The sequence below is a fragment of the Homo sapiens genome, chromosome 6 (genome assembly GCF_000001405.40).
Source record: "Homo sapiens chromosome 6, GRCh38.p14 Primary Assembly".
Classification (NCBI taxonomy): domain Eukaryota; kingdom Metazoa; phylum Chordata; class Mammalia; order Primates; family Hominidae; genus Homo; species Homo sapiens.
Window position 1 is genome coordinate 159,904,975 of NC_000006.12, and position 27,976 is coordinate 159,932,950.

At 41.9% G+C, this 27,976-nt stretch overlaps 1 protein-coding gene across 3 annotated transcripts in view, besides 3 other annotated features; it reads left to right on the plus strand.

Moving 5' to 3' along the window:
• Positions 1–12,473, plus strand: part of MAS1 (MAS1 proto-oncogene, G protein-coupled receptor) — a 28,661-nt gene extending 16,188 nt beyond the window's left edge. For 2 of the 3 annotated variants that reach the window (NM_001366704.2, NM_002377.4), the window contains one exon: positions 1,946–12,473. In NM_001366704.2, the coding sequence (NP_001353633.1) occupies positions 1,982–2,959 (978 nt within the window). In that variant the 5' untranslated portion in view covers positions 1,946–1,981 and the 3' untranslated portion in view covers positions 2,960–12,473. The remainder of the gene's footprint in view (positions 1–1,945) is intronic. The other variant, XM_047418776.1, reaches the window with a different exon arrangement.
• Positions 13,467–14,666: an enhancer, noted in NCBI's record as "CDK7 strongly-dependent group 2 enhancer chr6:160339473-160340672 (GRCh37/hg19 assembly coordinates)". NCBI's record gives its function as "activates an origin of replication core promoter dependent on BRD2, BRD4, P300/CBP, MED14 and CDK7 cofactors, with strong dependence on CDK7, by STARR-seq in HCT116 cells {active_cell/tissue: HCT116}" and the evidence as "EXISTENCE:reporter gene assay evidence [ECO:0000049][PMID:35650434]".
• Positions 26,530–26,609: an enhancer, noted in NCBI's record as "active region_25394". NCBI's record gives its function as "activates an Ori minimal core promoter by ATAC-STARR-seq in GM12878 lymphoblastoid cells {active_cell/tissue: GM12878}" and the evidence as "EXISTENCE:reporter gene assay evidence [ECO:0000049][PMID:35858748]".
• Positions 26,870–27,039: an enhancer, noted in NCBI's record as "active region_25395". NCBI's record gives its function as "activates an Ori minimal core promoter by ATAC-STARR-seq in GM12878 lymphoblastoid cells {active_cell/tissue: GM12878}" and the evidence as "EXISTENCE:reporter gene assay evidence [ECO:0000049][PMID:35858748]".

Genomic DNA, 27,976 nt, shown 5'->3' on the forward strand with positions numbered 1-27,976 from the left:
GACCTCATGAGTGAGACGTTTCCCATCACACTATGGACGATGGAACCCCCAGGTCCCTGCCACTCCTTTCCTTTAATGATGCTTTACTTTTTTCCATAGAACTGTTCACGCACTGACATCAGTTTGATTGTTGTTGCTGTTATTGTATTTTGCTTGACTGCCTCCCTACTGGGATACAGACTCCACCAGGCCGGCACTTTGTTTTATTTACTGCCATGTCCCAGTGCCTAGCACAGTGCCTGGCATGGGCTAAATGTGTGGGGGGAGAATTTGGGGAACATGGTGGTCTTACTTGCAAACTTCTAACAAGGCCTGGTCTCTACAGCAGGGCTTTGGTTAGGCATGACAGGGCATGCGAGCTCTCATCCTGTGTGGGTTCTTTTCCGGGTCTCTGTCTACTAATTATGAAGTAAAAGGAAGCTCTCCTCCAGTGAAAGTAATTTCCTGCATCCCATTAGAACAGCTGAGGGAAGTGTCAATGGGATAGGTGTGATTGGGACCACGGAGGCAGTGTCCTCCTGGGTGCCTGGATCACATCGCTGGAAGGAAACACCTGTTTCACCAACCCAAAGGCTACCTGCTGGTCCAGGGTCCAGGCCCGGCTGTACTGAGATCACAGCTCAGGGCCCTGCACATGCTGGGGCTCTGCTGACTTGATTCTAGAAATGTCTAATATCACCAGAACCATTCAAGTGCCACGAAATAACACATTTATGTATTATTCTGCTTCAGGTGAGCTCAGGAGGAAAAGACAGATATCTATTCACTAAAAATATTCTTTTGATTGGCCGGCACGGTGGCTTACACCTGTAATCCCAGCACTTTGGGAGGCTGAGGCAGGTGGATCACCTGAGGTCGGGAGTTCAAGACCAGCCTCACCAACATGGTGAAACCCCGTCTCTACTAAAATACAAAAAATTAGCCAGGCATTGTGGCACGCGCCTGTAGTCCCAGCTACTCAGGAAGCTGAGGCAGGAGAATCGCTTGAACCTGGGAGGCGGAGGTTGCAGTGAGCTAACATCTCACCACTGCACTCCAGCCTGGTGACAGAGCAAGTCTCTGTCTCAAAAAAAAAAAAGTTATTTTGATCAACTTCTTATGGACAAAGTTCAGAAAGCAAAGAACAATGTTTTACTACATACACATACACATGCATGCACACAAACTAGAAAAAAAAATTTTTTTGAGTGCTTTGTCTGGCATCTGGCGATGGTGTTTCCCGCACCATCTGGCCTGTGGTCTGTGGGGACGTACATACGTCTTGTTAGGGCTCTCCATCCAGTCCACACATCAATGGCTTGCCTGGCTTACGTAGTCTGAGCAGGTGCCCAGCTTTGTCGCAGATATTGAAGCCGTGTAAAATAAATGCCTTTTGATTGTTCACACTTTAAGCAATATTGGTACAATATTAAACCCATTGTCCCAGGCACTCCCTCTCCTTACTGCTTATGGCACTTCATGTATTAAAAAATGACAGTGGCAGCATTGCCCAGACATGCGTTTTGTCATCAAGTCTTAATGCAGTCCACCTGGTCCCTCAGGCAAATGAATGGAGGCACAGAAGATGAAATGATTTTCAAAATGCCATTAGGAAAGCTCAGGCCAGAACTGGAAATGGGTCCCGCACAGGGCACTCGGCCACTCTTGCCTGGCCATCTCCTTTTTGGCACTAAGCCACAAGCACACAATGATATAGAATGAATGGTTATCACTGGGGATCCAGAAGGGTCATTCAATCAGTTCTCAGTCTTATCAGGTCTAAGTTCCTTTCTTATCAGGTCCTAAAGGCCTAATCTTATCATTGTGACAAAGATAACTGTAGAGTCTGTTAAACTTTTTTTTAATAACATGAAGATTATGATTTATAGCTGAATTTCTCCCTTTTATTCCAATTCAACAATTTTCATGGCTTTTTGTGTTTGTTTTGTTCTGGACATATTTACAGAAAATTACCTGAAGAGTTCCAACCTGAGGCCTCCTCATGGATGGGTCAAACGTGACATCATTTGTTGTTGAGGAACCCACGAACATCTCAACTGGCAGGAACGCCTCAGTCGGGAATGCACATCGGCAAATCCCCATCGTGCACTGGGTCATTATGAGCATCTCCCCAGTGGGGTTTGTTGAGAATGGGATTCTCCTCTGGTTCCTGTGCTTCCGGATGAGAAGAAATCCCTTCACTGTCTACATCACCCACCTGTCTATCGCAGACATCTCACTGCTCTTCTGTATTTTCATCTTGTCTATCGACTATGCTTTAGATTATGAGCTTTCTTCTGGCCATTACTACACAATTGTCACATTATCAGTGACTTTTCTGTTTGGCTACAACACGGGCCTCTATCTGCTGACGGCCATTAGTGTGGAGAGGTGCCTGTCAGTCCTTTACCCCATCTGGTACCGATGCCATCGCCCCAAGTACCAGTCGGCATTGGTCTGTGCCCTTCTGTGGGCTCTTTCTTGCTTGGTGACCACCATGGAGTATGTCATGTGCATCGACAGAGAAGAAGAGAGTCACTCTCGGAATGACTGCCGAGCAGTCATCATCTTTATAGCCATCCTGAGCTTCCTGGTCTTCACGCCCCTCATGCTGGTGTCCAGCACCATCTTGGTCGTGAAGATCCGGAAGAACACGTGGGCTTCCCATTCCTCCAAGCTTTACATAGTCATCATGGTCACCATCATTATATTCCTCATCTTCGCTATGCCCATGAGACTCCTTTACCTGCTGTACTATGAGTATTGGTCGACCTTTGGGAACCTACACCACATTTCCCTGCTCTTCTCCACAATCAACAGTAGCGCCAACCCTTTCATTTACTTCTTTGTGGGAAGCAGTAAGAAGAAGAGATTCAAGGAGTCCTTAAAAGTTGTTCTGACCAGGGCTTTCAAAGATGAAATGCAACCTCGGCGCCAGAAAGACAATTGTAATACGGTCACAGTTGAGACTGTCGTCTAAGAACTGTGAGGGAAGTTGTGGATAAAAATGGTGGAACACAGGTCATTTTTAGTTTGTGCTTGGAATATGACTTAAGTATCTCCTAAATGTGATACAGAAGAACATCTCATCCCATATGCATGAGATACTAATTAATGATGAAATTGAACTCTTGTACTGTATCTTCTGGAAATGACCTGTCATTTCTGTACTTGACAAAGACTCTATTTCTTTCAGCTCTTTTGGCAGCATCTTACCATGAACCATAAAAATGACTTTTGCAGGAAGATTTACAGATGTGTACGGGACAAGGTAACAAAACTATTTGTTGGAACTTGAGGAGGCAGCTTGATGTAGCAGGAAGAACAAGGGTCGCTTCCTGTGTGACCTCAGGCAAGTTGTTAAACCTCTCAGAGCCTCATTTTCTCACTCATAAAATGGTTGCGGCAATAGTCTATACCTCCTTGGTCTGCTGTGAAGATGAAATGAGAAGATGAGGCTTGTAAAGCACCTGGCACATTGTGGATGTTCAACAAATATCAGTCTCTCCTCACTCCCTTCAATGGTAGACAAGATATAAATTTTTGTTTTGTAAAGCACACACACACACACACACACACACACACACACACAGCTCTATCATGTACAGAAGTTATTATGTGTTTTTACATGTTGAATGTAAATTTACGAAGGTCTTCTTTTTGCTTGCAGCATGAAAGCATTTCATGGCATTACACCTCTATTGAAAAACATCGCGGATGTTATGATCTAACAAGCCATGTGCTAGTGCATCATTTCAGGTTGTGAAGAAATACATTTGGCCACCAGTAGAGGAGTTTCTCATGGCTCCCCTTCCCTCTGTGGGAATACTAGATGAAATGAAAGTCTGTGTTTTGAAATCCTTTGATTGCATAAACATTTTTACGAATGGAGTTGAATTTATGACTTCCTGGGGGTGACTGGGACCTTCCTCCCCCATGAAGAGGTGGGTTATTTGTAGCCAGAGTTCTCACCTGCAGCCAAGTGCGGGTCTCTGCACCTGTCTGCCTCCTCTCCTCCTGAGGCTTTTTTTTTTTTTTTCATCACACCTGGAAGGAGGCTCAGTGGCAAGGGCTAATGAAAATGTGGTCACATCCTGGAGGACTCTGATATTTTTGCTCATGACAGATCCTTGCATGACTTCCTCAGAATCTTTACTCAGCACTCCAGGGGGGGCTCTGCCTCTTGCCTGCCATGAGTTGCCCTCCAGACACTGCACGTCCTGGGTTTTAGCTGTGAAGCCCGTCGCATAGCTATGTTTATTTCCTTCTGTCCCTTCTAGGAGTTCCACAAAAGGGCAATATGTCACATGATTCTACAGGTTGTAAAATGTTCAAGTCCATAGAAATGAGCCCGATAGTATTTATTTTAACCATTTGCTCTTTAAAAGGTCAGAGAGGCAGTGATGTAATTGTTCTCTGTTGCTGCTTGTCCTTCCCCATCCTCTTCCTTTCTCAAAAGAAATGATGTGGGGCAGCTTCGCTGGGGGAGAGGAGTCTGTCCCCTCGAGCAAGGACCCCACTGCCAGCCAAGCTTGGATGCAGGAGGCTTTTCAGTGGGTGACAACATCTGATTCAGAAACAAGGCAGCTTTGCTTTCAGGAGCCCAGATGGGGTGTGGAGCAATGACATTTAGAATGATCTTGTTTTTGGTTGAAAACAGAGCATTTTCCCTGGGAAAGAACAGAATATGGAGATCAGAGCAACTCCCCTCTGTTTCCTGTCCTCTCCTGTGTGTGCTGTGTGCTGGCCTCTGGGGTAGGGAAAGGGGGCCAACCTCGTCTCATCTCTAAGGGGATCTTAGTCTCAAAGAGGACCCTAAAGACTATCAGATACAAGGAATTTCTACCTAAGGAAAATATGGTGAACTAATAGGAAGCCCCTATTTATTGTTTTTCTGCAGATAAAGTGGGGAAATCGAATGTGATAATGAATATAAAAATTATTCTAACCTTTTAAAATGATGCCTTACCAAGAGGTAGGAGGTAGGATTCAGAGTTTGGCAGGGTTATAAAGACTAATTTCTTTCTGTCTTCCCCCAAACCCATTCCCAAAGTGAACTGTAAGGTTAAAACTATAACAAGAAGATTTAAGTAAATTTGCAAATATGTAGAGAATACTAAATCATTTGTATCCTTTAGGCATTCAGACAATTTGCCTAAGTCATTGTAGGTTACTAGGTGCCACTTCCGAGAATTCCTTGGGGATGGGGAGGAGATTGTTTGGATAATGCCTGTCCTAACTGAACGGGAAGGGTTTGTAGCATTCCTACTACAAAGATTCATGCACAGCCTTCTCTGCAGAACACCATGATGTGGACAAGGCAAAGACGGGGAAGCGGAAGCCGCTGTCTATGTCATAGGAGAAAGAGACACCGCATAACTACAACACCAGGCTGCACACAAGTTTGTTTGACAAGTGTTAGGAACAAAATTGTGTGGCAGAGGTCACCACAGCAGGGGCTCTTCCTGCCACCCCCATATTGCATGCAGCCTCTTCTGTTCCCTCCCCTGCCCACTGGGGTTTCTCCTCAGCACTCATCATGCCATATATCGATTTGCTTATTTGCTCGTTCTCTGTCTCTTCACGCTAGACTATAAGCTCCTTGAGGGCAGGGACGTAGCTTTGCTCACTGCTGTAGCCCCAGCTTATTTGCTGTGTTGGTCGAATCCACTGCACCCCTCTCTGGGCTGTTTCCTTTGTACATATAAATAGACTCAAATTGCTTCCACCTAACCAGAAGCCATTCCTTGCCCCACAGCCCTTTCCAGTTTCTATCTCCCCTCCCTCCCTTCCTTCCAAACCACCTTCTGGAAAGGCTCTTCCACACTCACTGTCCTGACTCTTGCCACAATTCACCCCTCAACATCCTGCCATTTGTCTTGCAGCCTGACCATCATAGAGAGATTGGTCCAGATAGGAAGGTGAGTAACTTCCACAGTGTCAAATCTGATGGGCTGTTTTCTACCTATGCCTTTTGTGGCATTTAATACCCACAGTCTTCCTGAAATTATCTCTTTTCTTGGATTCTAGTTTGCTACATTTTTCTCCAGCTCTCTTTTTGAATCCTATCTTCCTGATTGGAATCTTCTCACTTCTTTCCTCCCTCTTCTACTGCTCCTCCCTTAAATGGACACATTTTCCATAATTCAGTGGCTGGGCCTCTGCTCTCCTCTTTCTGAGAAATCTCCCTGGATCCTGATCCATAATCACCTGCTTATTAATGAACCTCAAATAGACATTTGCTGACCAGAACCCTTTGCTGGGCTCCAGTCCTGTGTGTCCAATCATCTAATGGACTTTTTGACCCAATGTCCTGCAGGTGCTTGTAACCCATTCATTTCCCCACCGTTTCTTTTTTCTTTTCTTTTCTTTTCCTTTTTTTTTTTTTTTTTTTTTTTTGAGACAGAGTCTTGCTCTGTTGCCCCAGCTGGAGTGCGGTGGCGTGATTTCGGCTCACTGCAACCTCCACCTCCCAGGTTCAAGCAATTCTCCTGCCTCAGCCTCCCAAGTAGCTGGGATTACAGGAGTGAGCCACTGCGCCGGGCCTGCCCCTATTCTTTTTTCAGTGAAGTACACCGCTGGTCACCCTGTCCCCCTTGCTATGCTATTCCCTTTGCACAGACTGCTCTACCTTTTTTTAATCTAGCAAACTCCATTTATCCATCTACGTCCAGCTCAAGCATTAGAGACTCAGGAGAGCCTCTGGAAGCTGAGTTCCTGGATAACCGTGCCATACCTTTTCTTTCCCAGACTTTCCACATCTTTCCCTTCCTCACTCTCAGCAAATGATGGCTGGCTCCCCTTTACACAAGGGGAATAGAAGCAACCGGAAGAACTCTTCCAGACATCCCCGCTGTCCCCTCTGCTGACCTAGCTCCATCTTCTTCATATCAGCCTCTCCCCTGTGTGCTCAGGGGGAACTCACTATGCCCCTCCCTGGCTAAGGTGATACCCTGGCTAAGATGCTCCAACCCCTTCCCCTGTTGCCTGCCCGATGGCATTTCGCCAGCAATTCTCCCTCTCTGTCCTGCACCATCAATTTCAGTCCAGGATAACGGAGGACAGAATTTTCAGGAATCAGGATGGAGGAGGGTTGGTGAACAGCACCACTGGCCTTGACTAGCCTGCTCCCTGCCACACATACTGGTTGTTTCTCTGGAGACAGCATTGTATGCACTGAGATGAGCAACTGGAGAGCCACCAGCAGCCATCCCCTCTCTTTGTGCCTCACAGCTCCAGTGACTGATGGAGATGGAGATGGGATCGTTGGCTGCCTTCATGGAGTTGTTTAAGGAGCACTTAGAAGATGCTTTACGGGCATCCCTAGAATTTCACCATTAGAAGAGTAGTTCTGTTAGGTTGAAATTTGTCTTTTTACTCAACCTCTTCTTAAATTAGGAATCACTTCTGGAAAGGAAAACACATCAAGCCATACATACTTTTTCCTGTGCTTTTTCTCATGGAGAGGAGCAGCACAAGACAAGACACCCAGCTGTTCAGGCTGCTGAATGAGATGGTGAGGAGTGGGTGGTAGAAGTGAAGAAAGGAGGAGGTGGGAGCAATCAAGTATTTGCTTGCTTGATTCCACAAACAAGAAGCTTCTTTTCTCTTTAACCTAACATTTGACTGTTTAACTTTGCAAGGTTATATGGGAAAAAAAATCCTTGATATGAAAACATTAGCAAATGTATCACTTATAAAATGGGTACCATCAGGCCTCCCCCTGCTTAGCACCAGAGTCTCTCTCACTGCCTCATCTACAGTTTTGTGGATCAGTCTTGTGATGCCTGAGAGTCAATGTGCAAACTGTCCTCGAACTTTAATTGATGATCTTGACAAACATTCAGGATTCTGTGAAGGAGGTAAGAGAGGTGTCACAGAACTGCTAAAATACACTTCAACTATTGATAAAAGAGCATGGAGCAGAGTTAGACCGGTTAGCAGCTGAATCAGAGGTAAATAAACAAGGATGATGATGAGATGGGAGCTTCCAAAAAGAAGCGTTTTAATATCAAATGTTGAAGAGAGGCTCTTGGGAAAACTGCTGAAGTCTTTAGATATTTTTGCAAAAATTACCCACTTTTTGATGTTCAGCAAAAGTAACCATTAAGTAAAGACAGAAAAATTGGCTGGGTACGGTGGCTCATGCCTGTAATCCCAGCACTTTGGGAGGCTGAGGTGAGCAGATCACCTGAGGTCAGGAGTTTGAGACCAGCCTGGCCAACATGGTGAAACCCCATCTCTGCTGAAAATACAAAAATTAGCTGGGTGTGGTGGTGGGCACCTGTAATCCCAGCTACTTGGGAGGCTGAGGCAGGAGAATTGCTTGAACCTGGGAGGCGGAGGTTGCAGTAAGCTGAGATCGCACCACTGCTCTCCAGCCTGGGTGATAGAGTGAGACTCCGTCTCAAAAAAAAGAAAAATTATGCCAAAAAATTAAGTACTTTTGTGGCTTAAAAGAACAATGTATTGTCATTTCTCAAGGCTCCATGGGTTGATTGAGTTCAGTTTCTCATTTGGCGTCTCTTGTAGTTGTAGTGAGTTGTTGGCTGAGGCAGAAGCCACCTGAAGGCTTGACTAGGCAGGGCAATCGAGGTGGTACACTCACAAGGCTGGTCATTTCCTGGGGCTCAGCTGGAAAGGTGGACCAGAGTTCCTACACAAGGCCCTTTGATGTGGTTTGGGTTTCTTACAACATGGTGATTGTGTTCTGGAAGGAAGTCTCCTGAGACTTAGCTTTTCCTAAAGGCCAAAAATCAGCTATTGGGGTCTCATTTGCTTAAAATTATTGGCATGTTGTTGAAATTATAATGAGTTTTAGTAAAGCAAAATTAAAACAATTTTCATGATTTTAATTTCACTTTTTTCATGATTTTCTATGAAATTTTGGTCCTCATTTTAACAAGATTCCTTTTTAACAATCTTTTACTAAAACCAGTCATTCATGGATAAGGAGATCCTCTTACACTAATTATTTAAATGTGTACATATACATGTTAATACAAAGGGTTGAATTGTTAAAGCAAATTCAGAGTGACTTACAGATCTTACCCAACATGAAACTAATGATTCAAATGATAAGAGGCAAGTGCCAGGCACAAATGAAACACTCTTTTCTGGAGGAGACCAACAGTTTTAATTATTTCTGGGGTTTTTTTGGTCAAATTTCTCATGTTGCTTCTAGATTGTTTTCCAAATGTCATTTAGTTTTCTATCTGTACTTTTTGTGATTCTCTGAATTCTCTGTCAGACATTTCGGAGATCTTCAATTCTTCTGGGTCCATTGCTACAGCTTTGTTATCTCTTTTGATGTTGTCGTTTTCCCCTGAGTTTTCACAGTCCTTGCACTTCACGTCGATCCCCGTGCAATTGAGAAGATAGTCACCTCTGACAGTTTTTTAAGGGTTCTTGGTGGTGTCAGAGCTTTGCTACTTAGTATTGGAACTTAAACTCTGGTCTGTTGTTTCTTCCTGTTCTGAGTGAGACTTGCGGTGAGCACTGGAACTTAAACATTGCCCTGGAACTATATTGCTGCTCTGTCAACATTTCCCAGTTCAGGGAAGATGTAAGTGGGTATCAGAACTTAATCTTGAGCTTTTTGTTGTTTCCAGGCCAGGGGAGGGCTCTCGAGTATACCTAGGCTCGTGGAAAATGCAGCCAGGGATTTGGACCTCCCTGTGGATTGTGCCAGCCAGTCCCTTCACCATGGTGTCCCCACTGATCAGAGCTCAGAGTGCACCAGTACACCAGTTGCTGCAATCAGTGCTTGGCTTTTTGTCCCCAGTTCACCCCAGGTCATTCAGCTATCCTGGCATTCCCAGTGGTTCCTGTGGGACGGGGCCAGAGTGGGTGTCCCATGAAGATGACCAGATCAGTGGGGAGATAAAATGCTCACCTGTAATTCTCTCCTGTCACCTTGGAAACCATGGATCTAGAGACATTCTCTGAGTGACACTATGCCAGCTGGGAGTGGTGGCACAGTCCGAATTGATTGTTTCTCTTACCAGTTCTGGCTTCTTTCAATTCTGTGGACCTAGGGGGTTTCTCAGCTTCTCCCCAAAGTTCTGGTGAATTCAGGGTGGTGTTCTTGTCTTTGAATAGTTGGAATCTATTTCTGTGGGGGGAATGGTTCCAGAGAATCTTCTATTCTGCCATCTTGTTGAGCTCTCCCAAAATGTCCCCTTCTCCTACATTGGCACACGCTTTGGTTTCACATTGACTGATGAGTTTTGAGCAACGTATACAAAGAAACATTGTTCTCAAAGGAAACTGGTGAAGTTTGGGGGTGCCTCCATTTTGCACGTTGTTCATTACACAAGTAGAATATACTTATGTGACTACCCGTACCCTTTCTCCAGCCTCCCTGCCCCATAAACCTATAAATCCCAAATTTATTTATAATAGACAATCTTGACAGATTAGGTATATCCTGCTGGAAATAGGACTAGTTCACTGAGTATAACGTTTCTACAGAGCAGTCTGATTGAGGTCTTCAGCATCTTTGCAAGGTGCCCTGGTTGAGGTTATTGTTCCGCAGGCACTCCTGTGGGGAAGGAGTGATTTGCAGGCTTCATGCTGACATTACCTGTATGGTACATTTTGGCCAACACCAGCCTGTTAATGCCTGAGGCAGAGGCCTCTGGAATGAGAAAACAGGACTGGAAGCCTGCCTACTTAGTAGCTTGGCAAGTGTCAACAAGTTAATCTCTGTGACTGGTGACTTAGTTGGAGTTCCACCCAAAGCAGATCCTGAGACAAGGATTTAGTGCAAGTAATTCATGTGGCCATCATCCAGAGGAGCATGGGAGAAAGTGGGGAATTTAGACAGGGAAAGGAGGAAGTTAGCAAAGGGTGAGTGAAGGAGAACAAGGGCCCAGGACAGTGAGGCCCCACCTCAGAACTGCCCTCCTGGAAGGGCGAAGGAGCCGTGGCGCCGACCCCCACCTCCTGCCCCTCAATAGGGAGCATCACTCCCCGACGTCAACTCCCAGCTCTTCCTGGCCTGCCCTGTGCTCAGGCCGAGCATGGCCTAAAGCAGGGAATATGTCTAGGCAGAGTGACACAGGGAGCCATGGGCAGGTACAGGATCTACCTGCAAGTGACTACAGGGGTGGCTTCAGGGCTGACCAATGGCATCTGCTATCATGGAATTAAAGTAACCTACCCCACGAAGTAGCTGTGCCAAGTAAGTGAAATAATGCACAAGGAAATTCTGTGTAAACTTTCAAGCATCAAGCAAATGTTAGTTATTTCTTGAGGACGTTATGTAAAGTGATATAAGCCAGGCCCGGAAGGACAAAGACTGTATGATTCCACTCATATGAGGGGCTTAGAGTTGTCAGATTCATAGAGACAGAAGGTAGAATGGTGGTGGCCGGGGGCTGGAGGGAGGAGGGAGTGGGGAGTTAGTGTTTAGTAGGAACTGAATTTCAGTTTGAGGAGATGAAAATGTTCTGGGGATCTATTGCACAACAATGGACATGTAGCTAACCCCACTGTACTGTATTCTTAAAAATGTTTCAGATGGTAAATTTTATGTTATGTATATTTTACCACAATAAAGAAGTGAGTTATTGTACTTTCAAGGCACTCGGTGTGTTTCTCAGGATGCTGGGCAGCCCATGGCCCCGAGACAGGTGCCAAGTCAATACTTGGGTGATGAAGGATGAAGACAAACCTCCTCTTCATCTTCACTCCAGTGAGTGGAGCACTGGCACTGTTGCCAGTGAGAGGCAAAGACACGAGGCCAATTCAACAACCCACCTCAAACCTGTATTTGCAAGTGAGTGCAGACTCCCCTGATTCCAATGAAGCTGCTGTTGAGGGCCGGATAGCAGCCACTCTTGGCTTTGCGGGCCGTACAGTCTGTGCTGCAATGACAACTCTGTGGGTGTGTGAAAGCAGACACTGCTTAGATGAACGAGGATGGCGGCACGCCAACAAATTCATTATGGACACTAAAAATTGAATTTCATGTAATTTTCATGTCATAGAAATTCTTTCTTTTCCCCTTCAACCATTTAAAAATGTAAAAAAACTATTCTCAGCTTGTGGGTTTTACAAAAACAGGTGGCAGCCAGATTTGGTAGTGGCCGGACTTTGCCACCTCCAGCCTGGAGTGTTTTGGGAATTCCCCATTCTGAAATGGTCTCCAGTGTGGCTGCAGCACGTCCATTTGACAATCCTGACCTCGGTGGTGGCAAATCTTCCTTGTTTCCTGGTGGATTTAACTTTGCAGAAGGACCAGCAGACATCCTGACCCAAACCTGATGGATGAGATTGGTGTAAAGTGGAGAAATTCTGTTTTGGATTAATCACAAGGAGATTTAAAAAACGAGAGATTTTCTGTAGTAAGTACATTGCCTGTAAATAGAATTCCAATTCTACATGCTCAGGGACCATTTTGTTCACTTGTATCAAACTATATTCTCTGGATTCAGAGGGAATTATTGGAACTTTTCAGAGATCAGGAATAAAATGTTCATGCATGAGAATTTTGTGTTGGGCTTTTAGAAGGATAAGGATCTCACATATGGCTTCTGGGTACAGCATGAATAAAATGCAGTTGCTGACAAATTAAAAACCAGAACGTTCCTCATATTGGGTTGATTAGCACTTGCAGGTTCTGTACCATCACTATCCTTAACGAGGAACATAAGCCTTGTCCCAAGTTGCAGGATAAATATTTCAGGAACTCAGTTGCAAAGGTCAGTATTACATTGATTTATTGATGTATGCTTTTAATCAAATGAACCCTTTAGAATTAGTTGCCCTTAGGCAAATGTCAGAAGCTCAAAACATTCCTTAAAATACTTAAAACAAAATAATGACACAATAAAACATCATTAAAAATCCTTCAGGCTCATTAGCTCTAGTTAAAGATGGTTGAATGCTTATGATAATTGAATTGAGCCACTGAGCACTTCCTGTCTTTCTTCTTCCAAGAGGAGAGAAAATAGATGAGGGCTGAGAAGCAGTCTTCCTTCTGCATGTGACTAAGCTAGGAGCTTGCTAACCCAGTGAGTGCATGACAATGCTGATAGTATTTTTGGAGGGTTTAGCATCCCCAAATCTTTTCTTTTATTTCTACAGACCAAGAACAAGGGTATTTCCCTGTTGAATTTTAGGTGTAGACATATGGAAAAGAATAATCTATATTATCTTTAGATGGATAAAGCTTGCCTATCAGCCTAGTGGCCTGTGTCAGTCCTCGACGTCCAGCCATTTTCTCCTCCAGGACAGTGGCTCAGCATCCTCTCCCACAACGCTTCGAGCAATATCATGTTAGACAGTTCCTGCTTGCTTTGACTTCTCCTTGCAGACCTCCTGCCCAGCTGGTATGGCCTGAAAGCTTGTGTACTCCCAGATTCATATGTTGAAATCCTAACCCTTCATGTGACGGTATTTGGAGGTGGAGTTCTTGGGAGGTAAGTGGGTGCTGAAGATAAGGCCCTCATGAATGAGATTAGTGCCCTTGAAAAGGAGGCCTCCCATTACCTCCCTCACCCCTTCCACCACGTGAGGACACAGTGAGAAGGTGCTGTCCATGAACCAGGAAGCAGCCCTCACCAGACACTGAATCTGCCAGTGCCTTGATCTTAGACTTTCCAGCCTCCAAAAGTGTGAGAAACAAATTTCTGTTGTTTATGAGCCACCCAGTTTATGGGATTTTGTTATAGCAGCATGAACAGACTAAGACACCAACTTTTGATCATTTTCCTTATTTTTCATAAAGTTGCTGAACAGAAGTGAGGGAAGACGATGCCAGTGACAGCAGAACATTGCTGAGGGCTGCAGAAATATGACAGCCCCTGGGCCCCTGCACTTCCCCTCCCTGCACAGACAAGAGTATGGTGAAGAACGGAATGAAGTTATAACGCTTGGGAAGTGGCCTGTGAGGCCTGATGAGCCCATGTTCTTTCTCTCACGTGGTAAGAAATGACCCCGAGTGACCAGAGGGGCTCATCAGAGCTGATCTGAGTTCAGTAAAAGGGCTGATGTGGAAGATGAGGCAGAGAGTGGACCTTAGATCTCAGAAGTGTCTGTTGGATGATGGAGACCTTCACAGAGAACACTTTCTCAGGAAGCGTTCCCAGCAGAGGTCTCAGCCCCTGGCTGATTCACAGCCTGCATTTAGAACGGAGATTGAGTCAGAGGAGATTCCACCTCTCCATGCATTCCCACAGTCCTGAAACTAGTCAGTGTTAGAACCAGAATTCAAACTGACGGTCTGAGCCCAGAGCTCTGCTCTTCATCTTACCCAGTATTACATTCATTCCCATATTGACTGAAGATTCACTTTCACTGTTATCATGAAAAGTAAGTTGAGAAATTGACATGTCATGTAGATGCTATGAGGAATCACTGGGGAGAGATTAAGATGTTCCTTCAAGCTTCAGATCTTTCAGAGAGATAAGTAGTGTGGAGTTGCACTGTTGGGAAACGAGTCTTGGCGTTCTGGCTCTTCACTTGTTCGCCTGCCTTCCTCCTCCAGCCCAGCTGCTGCAGTGTGGCATGTTACGCTTACACTTCATGGAGGAAATGGAACTGGGGCTGCTCCAATGTTCTCTTTTCAGGTTTTAATGGAAGGTTCTGCATTCAGCTGCACCAACACTGCTTGCAAACAAGAAAAGAACCGAGAGAGTGGAGAACACTGTGCAGGGACTTGGGTATGGATTCCAGGGAGTATCTGGAAATTCCCACCTCACAGGTCCATCTCACCTGGTGGTTGTTCCTACTGAAAAAGGATCCCGTGGTCCTGTGCCCTGAGGGCCACAAACAGCATAAATGTTCCAGAGCAGAGCCTGGAAGTGGGAGGGTACAGAGGGAAGACATAAGAAGATGGGGGTGGAAGCATGAAGGGCAGTTCTAAAGTGTCTTGGGGAGAATAGGAGATAAATTAGATGATAATGCACAAGGCCAAGGGCATGGCAAAATAAGGAACCAAGAAGAATGAAACCGATTTGATGAAGATAAGGATTAACAGTACACACAGTTATGAATAAAAGATGCATTATGTAATAATTAGCAGGCATCTATAGGTTGGTGCAAAAGTTATTGCGGTTTTTGCCATTGAAAGTAAATGCAAAAACTCGCGACTGCTTTTACAACAACCTAATACAGCTTCTTTCACCAAGGAGCTTAAATGTTTTAAAATAAACAAAATGTCGTTATGCACCCTACCTCCCTCCGCAGTTTGGAGCCCTTCCTTTTCCAGAATGATGCAGCCCAGGTCCCCCTACCCTTTGTTCTCAGCAGCAAGTCTCCGGAGAGGTTATATATATATATATATATATATATATATATATATAAACAAATAAATGATTTACCTTTTTGCCTTCCTGTGTACCACATTCAGATTTTGCTTTTGAAAATTCCATCAAGGCAGCTATGATGTCCATGTTTAATCTACTTATGTCTGCATCAACTGCTACCCTAACTTTTTCTCTTTATCACTCTCTTGCAATTAACATTTTGTCATACCTGTGTGCTACATAATACATAGTTTTTGTGTTTTTGAAGTCTATAAAAATCATATCCTATTCTATGTAGTTTTCTTTGTATTGTTTTTTCCACTCAGCATTATGCAGAGTGGTTCAATGTCTTTGTGTGTAGTGTAGTTCATTTATTTTGACTGCTAAAATATATTCCACTGAGTAAATATACTAGATTTTATTTATCCTCTTGTCAGTGGACTGTTTCCAGGTATTTTTTGAAATGTGGACATATTGCTATTTAAACAACTTTTCTATATATGTCTCCTTGTACACTTCCGCAAGAATTTCTCTTGGGTGTATACCTAGGAGTAAGATTACTAGGTCAGATTTATAAAACAATACCGAAGTGCTTTCAAGGTGGGCCGGTCAGATCAAGTGAACCAATTTACACTCCCATCCACGATATATGAGTCTACTTCCTTCACATTCTCTCTGTACTTCTCAATGTTGGCCAATCTGCAGGGTGTAAAATGGTATAACGTTGTGGGCTTAATTTACATTTACCAGATTACAAAAGTGGTTGAGCATCTTTTATGACTCTTAGCCATATGGTATACTGAGTTGAATAGAGTCCCTGCCTCCCCCAAAATTCCTGTCCACCTGGACCTCAGAATGTGACCTGATTTGGAAATAGGGTTTTATAGCTGTAATTAGTTAAATTATATTGATGTTATACTGGATTAGGATTGACCCTAAATACAATGACATATATCCTTATAAGAGAACCATGTGAAGACAGAAGTGATATGGTTTGGATGTGTCCCCACCCAAATATCATCTTGAATTGTAACTCCCACAATTCCCACATGTTGTGGGAAGAAAACTCTTTCTTTTGTAGATTGCTCAGTCTCAGGTATGTCTTTAACAGCAGCGTGAAAATGGACAAAATTGGTACCAGTAGAGTGGGGCATTGCTGAAAAGATAACCAAAAATGTGGAAGCGACTTTGGAACTGGGTAACAGGCAGAGTTTGGAACAGTTTGGAGGGCTCAGAAGAAGATAGGAAGATGTGGAAAAGTTTGGAACTTCCTAGAGACTTGTTGAATGGCTTTGACAAAAATGCTGATGGTGATAGGAACAATAAGGTCCAGAATGAGGTGGTCTCAGATAGAGATGAGGAGCTTCTTGGGAACTGGAGCAAAGGTGACTCTTGTTATGTTTTAGCAAAGACACTAATGGCACTTTGCCTTGCCCTAGAGATTTGTGGAACTTTGAACTTGAGAGAGATGTTTTAGGGTGTCTGGTAGAAGAAATTTCTAAGCAGCAAAGCATTCAAGAGGTAACTTGGGTGCTGTTAAAGGCATTCAGTTTTAAAAGGGAAATAGAGCATAAAAGTTTGGGAAATTTGCAGCCTGACAATGAGATAGAAAAGAAAATACTATTTTCTGAGGTGAAATTCAAGCCGGCTGCAGAAATTTGCATAAGTATCAAGGAGATGAATGTTAATCCTCAAGACAGTGGGGAAAATGTTTCGAGGGTATGTCAGAGTTCTTCACAGCAGCCCCTCCCATCACAGGCCTGGAGTTTTAGGAGGAAAAAGTGGTTTCGTGGGCTGGGGCCAGGGTCCCCTTGCTGTTTGCAGCCTAGGGATTTGGTGCCCTGCATCTCAGTTGCTATAGCCATGGTTGAAAGGGGCCAACATAGAGCTTGGGACATGGCTTCAGAGGGTGCAAGCCCCAAGCCTTGGCAGCTTCCATGTGGTGTTGAGCCTGTGAGTGCACAGGAGTCAAGAATTGGGGTTTGGGAACCTCTGCCTAGATTTCAGAAGATGTATAGAAACACCTGGATGCCCAGGCAGAAGTTTGCTGCAGGGGCAGGGCTCTCATGGAGAATCTCTGCAAGGGTGGTGCAGAAGGGAAATGTTGGTTGGAGCCCCCCACAGAGTACCACCTAGTGGAGCTGTGAGAGGAAGGCCACTGTCCTCCAGACCCTGGAATGGTAGATCCACTGACAGCTTGCACCATGTGCCTGGAAAAGCTGCAGACACTCAACACCAGCCTGTGAAAACAGCTGGGAGGGAGGCTGTACCCAGCAGAGCCACAAGGGCAGAGCTGCCCAAGACAATGGGAGCCCACCTTTTGCATCAGCATGGCCCCGATGTGAGACATGGAGTCAAAGAAGATAATTTTGGAGCTTTAAGATTCAATATGCCCTGCTGGATTTTGGACTTGCATGGGGCCTGTAGCCCCTTTGTTTTGGCCAATTTCTCCCATTTGGAATGGCGGTATATATCCAATGTCTGTACCCCCATTGTGTCTAGGAAGTAACTAGCTTGCTTTTGATTTTACAGTCTCATAGGTGGAAGGGATTGCCTTGTCTGAGATGAGACATTGGACTGTGAACTTTTGAGTTAATGCTGAAATCAGTAAAGAATTTGGGGGACTGTTAGGAAGGCATGATTGGTTTTTAAATGTGAGAACATGAGATTTGGCAGGGGCCAGGGGTGGAATGATATGGTTTAGCTCTGTCCCCACCCAAATATCATCTTGAATTGTAACTCCCATGATTCCCACATGTCATGGGAGGAACCCAGTGAAAGGTGATTTAATTATGGGGATGGATCTTTCCTGCACTGTTCTCTTGATAGTGAATCAGTCTTATGATATCTGATGGTTTTAAAGAGGGGAGTTTCCTTGCGCAAGCTCTCTTCTCTTGTCTTCTGCCATATAAGACGTGCCTTTCACCTTCACCATGATTGTGAGGCCTCCCCAGGTTTATTGGAACTGTAAGTCCAATAAACCTCTTTCTTTTGTACATTGCCCAGTCTTGTGAAAAGTAACTAACACAAGAAGGATAAGTTGGAGTGAGGCATCTACAAGCCAGCAAACACCAAAGATTGCCAGCAACCTCCAGGAGCTGGGAAGAGACAAGGAAGGATTCTTCTCTAGTGCTTTCAGAATGAGCATGGCTCTGCCAGCACTCTGACTTTTTTCCCCTGGTCAATGTTAAAAAATTTCTCTAGCAAGTCCATAATGCTGTAATTGCCATAGCCTTATATAAATCTTGATATCTGGAGGGCAATTCCCTCTGCTGTTCATTTTGTTTAGGATAATAGAGCAACTGTTGCCAGGGCTCTCCCCAAATTCTTTTGGATTCATTTGCATTCTCCATTGCACTACCAGTTTTTTCTGGGAGTACTTCCTAATAAATTACTTTCACATGTATCTCTGTCTCAGCGTTTTCTTCGGAACAAACTTATTTTAAAAAACATCCCATATAGATTTTGGAATATCTCTTCAGGTTACATGAAAATACTGTTGAGATTTTGTTCTGGAATTATATAGAATGTATAGATCAGTTTTGGAGCACAATTGTGGCCTTATGATAAGTATTTTTTTACATGTGAATATGAAATATTTTTCCATTTATAGTTCTTTTAAAACAACTTTTAATAGTTTTAATAATTTTCTGAGTAATGGTCTTGCACATATTTTATTAGATTTATTTCTAGGCACCCTCTAGTTTTTGTTGCTATTGTAGATGGTGGGGGGTTGCTATAATTATATTTCCTGTTGCTAGTATGTAGAAATGAAATTGATTTTATTTTTGGTTCTATTTTTTGTGTATGTGCCTGGAAACTTTTGGTTGAATTCTGGACACTGCATATAATAAATGTGTCTCAGGAATGCTTTGTCAATCTAGAGAAGCCTAAGGACTACTTCTTGAAGAATATTTTTAAATGCAGAAAATAAAATCTATGAGATTACAAAGAAACCAATTATATGAAAATGTAACTGTATTAGTCTGTTTTCATGCTGCTGATAAAGACATACCCAAGACTGGGCAATTTACAAAAGAGAGGGGTTCAATTAGACTTACTGTTCCACGTGGCTGGGGAAGCCTCACAATCATGGCAGAAGACAAGGAGGAGCAAGTCACATCTTACATGGATGGCAGCAGGCAAAGAAAGAGCTTGTGCAGAGAAACTGGCATTTCTAAAACTGTCAGATCTCATGAGACCCATTCAATATCATTAGAACAGCACAGGAAAGACCCCACCCCGTGATTCAGTCATTTCCCACCAGGTCCCTCCTACAACATGTGGGAATTATCAGAGCTACAAGATGAGATTTGGGTGGGGACACAGAGCCAAACCATATCAGGAACCCTAGTTAAGAATGCTGCAGTTATGGGTGATATTATTATCTTCTTCCAGAGGTGTGTGCTGCAAGCTTTGGTTAGGAAGATAGAGTGAGTTTGATCATCTTAATCTAATCACGAACTGAGCTAACTTGAGGCTGATCTGCACTTTGGAAGATGTTGTCTCTCTCTGATTTGCACTCCCCTGCTGGGGTACATCTCTCCGGAAGTTGCAAATAGGTGCTCATTTTAATGTTAGATAACTTTTAACCAAGAGAAAATCCCAACCACCCTGTGTTTTAGGGAATAGTATATTTGGCAGAAGCAAATACATTTCCACAGATAATAGCCTCAGACAGATTGTAGATATCAAGACATTTAATCACAGGGTTCTGACATTTAAGAACTTGGGAGTTTGGAGTTTTGTTGGCTTCCAGAGATAGGCAGAACTTAATAAGCCAAATCAATTATTCTTTAGTTTTCTGCTGAAAAGGCTATAAATAGCATTTTACAAGTTCTGTCTGACATCTTTTTATGAGGAACATTATTTCCAATATTTTTGTGACAGAAAGAACATTTCTAAATATATTTGTTAATTACCAAATAATAAGGCAAATGAAAGATCAGAGGTCAGTTGCCTTCCACCCTTTCTTTCCATGATTCAAACAAATGTTTAAGATATTTTTAAAGGTACAGTTTTAACCTTTTGGTTAATTTACATTGTATTTTGGCAACAGAAAGGGTTATATAATAGTGCAGCCTCCATCTACCAAAAAGAGATCTGAGGGGAAAAAAAAACCTCACTATTTAAATTTAGAAATCTTGAATGTTTGGTTAAGAAGGAACTGTTTTCCCTTTTGACATTTTTTACAGGCTTTATTGAAACTGGAGCTTTATATTCTTTTTTTAAAAAGAAACAACAATAAATATAGTACAGTACTTTCCATAACACATTATTTCAGTGGCTTAAGGTCAGCTGGAAGAAAAATGCAGTTCTCCACAGTGTGTGGCTTTAAAGTGGTCATTATAATTCTCTACTTTATTCTCCAAATTAGTGCAAACATTTATTGATCACCTCCTGCATGCCATGCACCATGCTAATCATAAATTATGCGATCCTGGTTCAGAGATCTTTGATTTCTTACCACGCTGGAGTGTTAGCCATACAGGACTGCTTTGTGCTAGGCAAGCCAGCAAGTCAGGGGCTCAAAAACAAAGCAGAATAAGAAAAATTTCAACAAAACATTCATTTTCAATAAACTCATTTAGCATTTTGCATCCAGAAGGATCTAGAAATTATTTTTACTTTCAGCATACATATAAGTTTTGAGTTGTACGGTTTGATATTGTTCTCATTTGAAGTTCATAGTGGGTGTCATAATCTTTTCAGTACTTGGGAACCACTAAAGTTCTCAAAGTAGTTTGCGTTTTAAGCTCTGACTTTGCCAAGTTGATTGAGAGAAGCTTCAGTGGAAGAAAGGATACTTAATTCACCCAGCCTGCTTCTCCTTTCCTAGTGCACCCTCTACCAGAATTCCTGAGCTAGGGAAAAGAAATGCAATGAGCTTGGAGACAGATTTTTTTTTTTTTTTTTTTTTTTTTTTTTGAGACAGAGTCTTGCTCTGTTGCCCAGGCTGGAGTGCAGTGGTGCGATCTTGGCTCACTGCAACCTCTGCCTCCTGGGTTCAAGTGATTCTCATGCCTCAGCCTCCCAAGTAGCTGGGACTACAGGCGCCTGCCACTGTGCCTGGCTAATTTTAGTATTTTTAGTAGAGATGAAGTTTTGCTCTGTTGGCCAGGCTAGTGTCAAACTCCTGACCTCAAGTGATCCACTCACCTCAGCCTCCCACAGTTCTGGGCATGTGAGCCACTGCGCCCAGCCCCTTGGGGAGAGATTTGATGCAGAGGACATGGTGATTTGAAAGTGATCATTTTTTCCCCAAGAGTTTGGACAGGAACAGAAAGGGTCAAAAGAAAGTTCTTTAATGATACAATGAGGACTGCTGTGGTCAGCTTGAAGGTTTCAAGGCAAATCAGGAAGAGGCAGCCCTGTACAATAAGCTTTACTGGGTGATGCTTGAGTGGGGCTGCCTGAGAAGAGGGGGCTCCCTCGCAGCAGGAGACCCTCCCAGAAGGAGAAGAGGGCAAGGGAACTCCAGGGCCAGAGAGAGTCAAAGAAGGGCCTTATGTGTCTAGGTGACGTCACTCAGCAACAAGGTGGGGAATGTCTGGGTCAGAGACTTCCAAAGGGCCAAAGTAGTTTGAGATCTGTGATGGTTAATTTCACATCAGCTTGACTAGGTATTGATATGCTCAGAAATGTGGTTAAATGTTATTCTGTTTTATCTGTGAAGGCATTTCTGGATGAGATCAATATTTGAATTGTAAGACCAAGTCAAGCAAACTGCCTTCCCCAGCGTGGATGGATCTCATCCAATCTGCTGGAGGTCTGAGCAGAACAAAAAAGGCTGAGTAAGGGAGAATTCACTGGCTCGGCCTGACCATCTTTGCGCCAGGACAGGGGTCTTCTCTTGCCTTTAGACCTGGACTGAAACTTACACCATGGGCTCTCCTGGATCTCCAGCTTGCCAACTACAGGTCCTGGGACCTCTCATCCTCTGTAATTGCATGAGGCAATTCCTTATAAATCTCTCTCCCTCTGTGTGTGTGTATATACATAGAGAGAGAACACATTTGCTGGGCATGGTGGCTCATGCCTGTAATCCCAGCACTTTGGGAGGCCGAGGTGGGTGGATCATTTGAGGTCAGGAGTTCAAGACCAGCCTGGCCAACATGGTGAAATGCCATCTCTACTAAAAATACAAAAATTAGCCAGGTGTGGTGGTGTGTATCTGTAATCCCAGCTACTCGGGAGGCTGAGGCAGGAGAATTGCTTGAACCCAGGAGGTGGAGGTTGCAGTGAGCCAAGATCATGCCACTGCACACTAGCCTGGGTGACAGAGCGAGACTCTGTCTCTTAAAAAAAATATATTTATATGTGTTATATATGTTATATAATTTATAATATAAATTATAACATATATTTATATATGTTGTATGTTATATTATTATATATAACATATATAAATATATATTATATATAACATATATAAATATATATTATATATAACATATATAAATATATATTATATATAACATATATAAATATATATTATATATAACATATATAAATATATATTATATATAACATATATAAATATATATTATATGTAACATATATAAATATATATTATATGTAACATATATAAATATATATTATATGTAACATATATAAATATATATTATATGTAACATATATAAATATATATTATATGTAACATATATAAATATATATTATATGTAACATATATAAATATATATTATATGTAACATATATAAATATATATTATATGTAACATATATAAATATATATTATATGTAACATATATAAAATATATTATATGTAACATATATAAATATATATTATATAACATATATAAATATTATATATTATATAACATATATAAATATTATATATTATATATAACATATATAAATATTATATATTATATATAACTTATAAATATTATATATTATATATAACATATAAATATTATATATTATATATAACATATAAATATTATATATTATATATAACATATAAATATTATATATTATATATAACATATAAATATTATATATATAACATATATAAATATTATATATATAACATATATAAATATTATATATATAACATATATAAATATTATATATATAACATATATAAATATTATATATATAACATATATAAATATTATATATATATAACATATATAAATATTATATATATAACATATATAAATATTATATATATAACATATATAAATATATATAAATATATGTTATATAACATATATTGTGTGAGTACACATACAGAATATATATAGTGTGTGTATATATGTATAGATACCTGTGTATATAATATATTAGAATATGTGCAGTTATCCACTGCATAATGACATTTTGGTCAATGATGGACCTCATATATGATGGTGATTTCTTAAGATTATAATGGAGCTGAAAAATCGCTATTGCTTGGTGACATCATTGCTTCTGTAATGTTGTAATGCAACACTTGATTCATGTGTTTGTGGTGCTGCTTGTGTGTACAAGCCTACTGAGCTGCAATCATATAATAGTATAGCATATACAGTTATGTAGAGTACACAATACTTGATAATGATAATAAGCAACTATGTTACTGGTTTATGTATTTACCATACTATACTTTTTATTGTTATTTTAGAGTGTGCACCTATTTATTAAAAAATTAACTATAACACAGCCTCAGGCAGGCCCTTCAGGAGGCATCCAGAAGAAGGCATTGTGACCATAGGAGACGACAGCTCCATGTATGTTATTGCCCCTGAGGACCTCCCAGTGGGACAAGATGTGGAGTTGGAAGACAGTGATATGGATGATCCTGAACCTACATGGGCCTAGGCTAATGTGTGTGTCTGTGTCTTAGTCTTTAATAAAAAGTGAAAAAAAAATTTTAATAGAAAAAAGCTTATAGAATAGGGATATAAAGAAAGTATTTTGTATAGCTGTACAGTATGTTTGTGTTTTAAGCTGAATATTATTACAGGAGAGCCAAAAAGTTACAAAAAAATTAAAAAGTTTATTAAGTGAATAAGTTACAGTAAAGTAAGGTTAATTTATTATTGAAGAAATAAATGTAGTGTTCCCTAAGTGTACAGTGCTCATAAAGTCTATCATAGTGTGCGGTACAGTCCTAGGCCTTCACATTCACTCACCACTCACTCACTGACATCAGAGCAACTTCTAGTCCTGCAGGCTTCATTCGTGGTAAGTGCCCTGTACAGGTGTACCACTTAAATAACTTTTAAAATACCCTTCACTCTGATGTTTGCATAATGACAAAATCGCCTAATGACATAGCCCTGTAGTTAAGTGACACATGACTGTATATACATTCTATCATGTATGTACATATATGACATTATGTTAATATAAAGACTAATACAGCGTAGTTCATAGGAACAAGGTTCATCTTACCTGTGGCTTAGCAGATGTTGGGCACAGTTTTGTGGGCTATGTAAAGTAGGTAGGCTCCAAATTGCCAAAAATAGATTTCTCTGGACTATATTTAAAGCAATCAATGTGGAAGAATTTGAGTTTGGTGCCAGTGGGCTTTGAGCTAGTGGTCTAGCCTGCTGTGAAGGCCTAAACAACATTGTAGGCCAACACACGAGGCCACGTCTGGCTCATTTATATAACTGCTATGGAGGAAAAAGAGGAGAGTCTTTCATCAGTAAACATCTCAGTAGCTAATGGTGCTTTCCCTAATTCTGGGGTTCTTTCTATTACGAGGTGGCAATGAGCTTGCGGTTGTATGTTTGCTGTAAACTCTTTGTCACCCTTGCTTGTCTACACCACACCAGGCTGGAGAGGGAAGCGAGGGCTCAGGTAACGGTGGCAGCAGTTATAAAAATAGCTGAATCCTCTCGGCCACCATCCCCGTTCTGGATTTTCCCTGGCAGAGTTCCAGGCGGTTCCACGTGCTTTCCCTGGCTAGCAGCCAGTTTAGTGCACCCACTACAGCCACTGGTGTGTTTGCTTAAAAATGTTTTTCTTGTTTTCTGATTAAAATATGTGAAATGCTTATCATAAATCATCTGGGAACAGGAAAATAGAGACTTAAAAGTGACCTATATCATAGATAAGTGCTAACACTTTGATGTACTTTTTCTTAGTCTTTTAAAGGGCATGTTTATAATATTGAACATCATTACTGCTTTGTATTCAGGTTTTTGCACCTAAGTTAAGTCATATGCCTTTCCTGTGTCATTAAATATGTTTTTGAAGCATATTTAATGCTAGCATGAAATTACACTCTATGGTCATAGTATGTTTGTCCAGTTATTGGACATTCAGGTTGGTACCCAACTGGCCCACTGGTAGCCAATGCTGCAGTTGCTACTGGGGCCCAGGCCACCCCTGCTGCTGTGCCTCCAGATGAGACTGGAAAGGGCTCCTGCCCCATCAGTGTTCACACTCCTACACATCAAAGTAAAAAGCTCTTTCTTGGTTTCTTTCTGCATCTCTGATCTTATGACATTTCATTAAGCTCATTCTATCAAAAGAATACAAACCTTCTCTCTGAGAACTGGTGAAACTTCCAAAAGCCAATAAAAACAAACTGGTTTGGAAAAGGAGAGAAAGCCTGGGCTGAAAAAAGGCTACAAGGGTGACAACTGAGGCACTGTCTCAATAAGGACACTGTGCAGAAACTTGATGTGTTCAGGCTAAATTTATGCCAGAGCCCACAGTGGGCCACTTCACACCTGTGGCTGTTATTAAAGAAGAAAAATAACAAATGTTGGCATGGATGTGGAGAAATCGGAACCCTCATAGATACCAGTTGCTGGTGGGAATGTAAAACGGTATGGTTGCTGTGAACACATGGAGTGGTTTCTCAAAAAGTTAAACATAGAATTACCATATGAACAACCAGTTTTACTCATAGGCATATACCCAAAAGAGCTGAAAGCACGGACTTGTACACATACTTATACATCAATGTTCATAACAGCATTATTCACAGTAGCCAAAAGGTGCAAACAAACCAAACACGTGTCAACGAGTGAATGGATCAGCAAAATGTGAAATATACAATGGAATATTATTCAGCCTTAGAAAGGAAGTTCTGACACACGCTATGACATGGATGAACCTTGAGGACAATATGCAAAGTGAAATATGCCAGTCATAACAGGACAAATGCTGTATGCCTCCACTTATATGAGGTCCCTGGAGTACTCAAATGCATAGAGACAGAAAGTAGAATGCTGGTTGCCAGAGGCTGGAGGGAGGAGGAAGTGGGGAGTGAGAGTTTAATCATTACTGAGTTTCATTTTTTCAAGATGAAAAAGAGTTCTGGAGATGGATGATGAAGACAGTTTTACAACAACGTGAATGTCCTTAACGCCACTGAATGGTACATTAAAAATAGTTAAGATGGTACATTTTATGTTATGTATACTTTATGTTATGTATATTTTATATATAATAAAAAGACAAGAACAACACAGTGGGTTGCACAGCAGCAGGGGTGGAGCCAGAGGCTGGAATCTATTAGAAAAGTGAAAGACTGAAAAAAAAGTCAAGGTTGACTGAAGTCCCAGGACAGGGATTATGCCCATCTTGTTAGTATCATATCCTCCAATCTAGACTAGCACCTGACATCTAGCTCAAGGTTTAGTGAATAAATGAACTAAGCTGGAAAAGATAAGCACAAGCTCAGGGGGCAAAGTAAGTCCACTGTGCCAGTTATTATGTTATCCCTCAATAAGCAGCTGTCTATGCTCAGCTGTGTGATGCTCGAGCTAAGGCTCTGCAAACATGTCTGCTATGCCACTGGCTCTCTCTTAGGTTTTGCTAACAGGGGGCTCAAGAGAGAAGGCTGGAGGAGGAGGAAAGGGAACACACTCCTTTCTGCTTGCTCCCTATGGGATCCATGTCTGCTTGTGATCCTGTGATTCTCATCTTAACGATCTTCCTCCAGCCATGCTTCTTCACCCTCGCAGCTGGAAGTCCTTCCGTAGCAGCAGCTGAGGCCACTTTGCAGTTGTTCCAGCACAGGCAGCACCAGCATCATCAGATTGCACTTCAGAGATCCCAGCACTTTCTTGCTGCCAGGAAGGTGCCCCTTCCTCAGAAGCCTGGATCCCAGCAAAAATGGTGTCTCCTCTAGATTTACTAGTTTTAATAATGCAAATCCTTCCCTCTGTGCCCTCAGTCCTAGGAAATCTGTTCCTGTGATGCTACTTTGGGGTGCTTTAGTTTTCCTCTTGGCCTTTCAATTTAGTTAACAAAATACATAAATACATAGATAAAATTACTCATGCTCAACAATTGTCAACATTCCATAGTTCCTTTTTATTTAACTCCACTCCTGTCTTGTTGTTGTTATTCGTAGTTATTGCTGCTGAAGAATTTTAAAGCCAATCCCAGATGGTGTGTCTCCCATAAATATCTTTGTGTGTGTCTTTGGAGGTTATTCTTGAGCTAAGAAGGGGATTTTCTCTTAAATCAAGTGACTATTGAAGGTCATGCCCTTAAATCAAGTGAATATCTTTGCAGATAAAGATATTTGACATGGACATGCAGGAGAAAGGGATGCTCCCAGGCCTGCCGTATCAGCAACCAATCAGAACTACTCAATGGAGTGGCAGCTCCTATGACCAGATGGCCTGGGCAGCTAAGTCTGGAGTTCAAAAACCCCAGACTCCCCATCACTTGATGGAGAGTGAGTAATTCTTTTACTTACTAGGGCAGATCACATGTATATTTTTGGCCCCACTTTATCAGATACAACCCATTGTTTCATTGGTTAGA